Source organism: Homo sapiens, chromosome 2 (assembly GCF_000001405.40).
Source record: "Homo sapiens chromosome 2, GRCh38.p14 Primary Assembly".
NCBI classification, from domain to species: Eukaryota; Metazoa; Chordata; class Mammalia; order Primates; family Hominidae; genus Homo; species Homo sapiens.
Genome location: NC_000002.12, coordinates 118,119,784 through 118,124,218, shown reverse-complemented (window position 1 = coordinate 118,124,218; position 4,435 = coordinate 118,119,784). Strand labels below are relative to the sequence as shown.

Below are 4,435 nucleotides of genomic sequence, written 5' to 3'. Positions count from 1 at the left end.
CCTCTCTCTCCAATTCCCATGCACATGACCTTCATTCTTTGTTTATAGATTGTGGGTGTCACCCTTGGAAACAGGCATTTTCCCAGAACAAGTAAGAACTAATGTTAGCCAATAGGAGAGAATACTAGTCAGCCCTCAGGGGAGAGGATGGCCATTAAAATATAGTACATAAAGGGATGAGCTGCTGGTATTTATCTCCAAGTCCAGCTTGCAGAGCCTTTCTCTGTTGCCAAAAGTGATCTAACATCTCCCTGCATAGCTTGGCTTCAGATGGTGAGATTTTTATTATTTTTTCATTCCATTCCACATTCATTCCAGTAATTATGAAAAAAGAAAGGAGTTATGACATATCTGGGGAGACTGACCCAGTGTATCAACTTTACTAAGAAAGGACATAATGGTTTTGGCAAGATAAGAGAATTTCATTCGGAAATTCCAAAGACATTCTATCCCAGTGGAGTTACTTGACTTGCCAAAAATCAAAGTTGTTTAGCTGGGTGGGGCAGGGACCTAAGCCAGATGACTAAGGGTGACACTCCTGGACAATCCACACAAGAGGCTTTCAGAAAGGCATTCTGATGCTGTGACTGGTGGTGTTCCACCTGCATTCATTCACGATGAGCCAGCAAGGTGAGATCGACAGCAAGCCCCAGAAACCTGGCCCTCTAGTGACACAGAATCTCTGTGAGGGGTATGGGAACAGAAACAGCGGTCTTTATCTCAAATCGTGGCACTATAAAGTAGTCCCACTACCTGCCTACTTTGGGCCCTACAGCAGAAACTGAATAAAATGCATTCCTATTATCTTAAAGAAAAAATTGACTCACGAGCCCTCTAACCTAATATTAGTATGTGGTAAACGCCAGATGAAGATGAAAGTAGCTAAAATTTGGGATGAATTTCTTGGAGAGATTCTAGAATTTCCTTTCCCAGTTCTCCTAGTTTTCATTTCAAACAAGATTCTGAAATGGTCTCCTTGTGGTTCAGCTCAGACTCAAGAGAACTGCTTCAATGGTGTCTCCAACCCCCTTGGCCTAAATGTTCTCACTTGCAAAGAAGATTCCACTTAAGAGGAAGTGCAGCCGGTTAATGCTTAACTACAGCAACTCCTCCTCTACACCAAGTGAGAAAGTTGGGCTGGGCTGAAAAATGGTTAGTTTTGCATGAAACTGAGTGTAGGTATTGTTTGAAAACCAGAGAACCCCAGAACCTCAAATTTCATGGGCCTCCAAGATCATTTATTTCAAACCATATATCTAATTGCTCCAAAAAGAAAAAATCTCTGATCTGTTTGGCAAGCAGTTTTCTCTTCCCACAGAGGAACACAGTCAACTGTAGGGCCTCTGTAACTTACATGTCACATGGAATCCAGCCTTACTTGGTAAAGGGAACATTAGCAAAATATCTTAGTCATGGTCATTTGGTTACAAAGAACAGAAAACCACTCAACTTTTAAATCATTTTTAAAGAGTTTATTGGAAGGAAAGCACAGGTTTCAGGGGAAGTAGAAAAATGTCAGATGCTTTGTCTCCCTCCCTCCCTCTCGCTCTCCCCCATCCTCCCCTTTTCCTCATCTCCAACTTCTGCTTCTCTCTGTAACTCATGCCTTTCTCTTGCTTTTGCAGCTTCCACTTCATTATGATTTTTTGGCTCTGACATAGGACAGTTTTTTTTGTTTGTTTTCTGTTTTTTACGTTTACCCTCATTTTTGTCATATTTTATTTTTTTCTGTGGAGAACCAGCCATGGGAATTGGTTTTCAGCAATGGACACCTGACCTGACCAAAGCCAATAAATCATGAGACTTTTGCTGAGACTTCAGAGAGGTGGGATGTGGAGGGGAGAGGACATGAGGATGGAGCTGCCAAAGCCATCCTGCCACTGTGAAGCACAAGACTAAGGCCAACACAGCAGAAAGGGCAAAGGGCTGGAAAGAAGCTAAGTCCTGATGGAGGCTTTCTGAAGTCTGAATCCCAGCTGTCCGTGAGACCAGTCCTGCTTTTCATTTCATGAGTCAATCACTGTATTTCTTGCCTAAGTCATCCATTAGCACAGCTGTCAGCCTTGGATTGCCATTGAGTCAACCCCATTCCTCCACCTGGCCTTGCACTCCAGTTTCACGACTAGCCTAGTTAGGAAGGATGTGCTCAGGGGAAGTGCAGTTTAATGTGGTTTCTAGGATATTCTTTCCAGGGTAAAGGGGGGCAGAGGAAGAAAAAAATAATCAACCTCTTCCATTTATTTTCATTAATCAGAGTCCTTGATCTGACAATTAGCCTAATCATATTTTTACTGTCCTGTCTTCACTAAGGTCATGAATGTCAAAATATAAAAGATCAAAGTATGCAGAAATCACTTCAAACTTCATAAATAATGCTTGTGATTTTTTTCATATGCAAGTCTAATGAAAATTGAGAAAACGATGTGTGCATTTCATAGTTATTCTCTTCTGGACATGCCAACCTCGGTCTTAAAATTGAAGACTATATTTAATGACTTAGAGGTTCAAATGTAAGTCATAAATTAAATTGCATCTGGTAAGGTGTACCTTACATTCTGCTTCTTCATTATGAGACCATATAACCCAATTCTTTGATTTATAAATATTTCCACTTTAATAAGTCATGACGCAAATAATCTTTCTCCAAACCTCTTGTTTCAAGACATCCAACTTACTGCACCACAAAATAGTAAATCTCAGGCTCAGAACTCCTTTCTTTGCCAAGAATTATACTAGTGAAGTTGTTCCTTGCCTCAATTAAAACTTACACTTGTTTAGAAAGGGCAAGAGCATAACTTCCACATATATGTTTAAGTTCCACATCTAACATTGTATAGGAATAAACCAGATTCCACCAACTTTCTGTGTTGACACCCACAGGCAGTGCAGATTGCATCCTGGGAAAAAGAACAAGGGCCTGGCTCTATGCCCAGCTGTACATACTAGCTGTGTGGCCTTAGCAGGTTGTGTATAATCTCTCTAAGCCTCTGTTTCTTCACATATGAAGTACTGACCTTATACTTTATAGATTGTAATATCAACTTTATGGCTTTATTGGGGACTTGAAATGAGGTGGTGTATGTAAAGCACATAGTAGGCATTCAGTGTTCATTACCAGCTACTACTTAAGGTAATAATTGCCCTTCATAATAGAAACATTCATAATTCATAAATGTCCATTTCCTACCAGTTGTCAACATACATGCTATGTTGCTGTAAACCTTGCATAATTATAAAATTAAATTTCCATCTTTCATAAATTGAAATGTAACATCACGCTAAAGCTACTGAAATGTCTGATTCTGCCACTGACTGGTTGTAGAACTCGGGACAAACGTAATCAATTTGTGGCTTTGCTTCTGCGTTTGTAAAATGACAAGATTGGGCTGTTCTAAATGAATTTTAGTGCCTCTTCCAACTTTACCATTCTTCTGAGTCTTATATGTCAGTTAAATGGCTGTTTAATATATACGAGTCATCATGGGATAATTGCATGTTTATCGTAAAGAAACCCAAACTCCTCTCGGAGGAAGACAAACTGTTGACATCTAAAATTAGTCTCTCAAATAATATTACCTCATGAAAGAAAAAGAAGTGATGGTAGTACAATTCATGCTCAGATTTTGTAATTTGGGAAATCTCTAAAAATTGAGAGATGTAAGAGGTGATGACAGAATAATTCATATGCTCACATTTTGTAATTTTGGAAATCTCTAAAAATTATTCTCAAAGGTAGAAAGTGAAATTGAATTTAGGGACATAGAGATACTCACGGAAAAGTATGTAGCAGAACACACCATTAGGTCTACAATCTGCAACTCCATATATAAATAAGCCTCCAAACCCATGTTGCCTTAGTTATTGGAAATCCGAATGACTGACATATTTCTATTTTTCTAGAAATGCAAAACAGACTTGTGTAATTAACCATTCCTTTGGTATTTATTTTGAAACCAACTGTGCATTTCTTGGCCTCTTCACATACAAATAATGCCAACGCCTACGCAGTTCCACAGAATTCTTGAGCAGTTCTCACTCACTCTGCCCATTTTTTTCTTGCCCCCCTCTCCATTACCTCATAAATGGTGAACATTTCAGAAATAACGATCCCATTAGAAGAAGGTCTCTACATGTCGCCTGTAAGGCTTGAGAGGAAAAACTCAAAAGATGCCTTCACATAAAAGTGGGAAAGGGAGCAGAAATGAAATTTCTAATGGACATAGCAACACAAGAAAGCGCTGTGCATGAAGAACCCAGCTTCTCTCTGACAGATGGTACGCCATGCATGCAGCTAGATGAGCAGCGTTCAGGGGCTTGCTCCATTGCAAATACAGAAACAATAAAAATGCATGTTGATTTTTAAACAGATGTGTAATTAAGTATGACATTCTGATAGAGGTTTACCAAGGCAGAACAGCTGGATTTGAGGAGTCCT

The 4,435-nt window shown here is 39.4% G+C and overlaps 1 annotated feature.

Moving 5' to 3' along the window:
* Positions 1 to 1,200: an enhancer, noted in NCBI's record as "P300/CBP strongly-dependent group 1 enhancer chr2:118880595-118881794 (GRCh37/hg19 assembly coordinates)". NCBI's record gives its function as "activates an origin of replication core promoter dependent on BRD2, BRD4, P300/CBP, MED14 and CDK7 cofactors, with strong dependence on P300/CBP, by STARR-seq in HCT116 cells {active_cell/tissue: HCT116}" and the evidence as "EXISTENCE:reporter gene assay evidence [ECO:0000049][PMID:35650434]".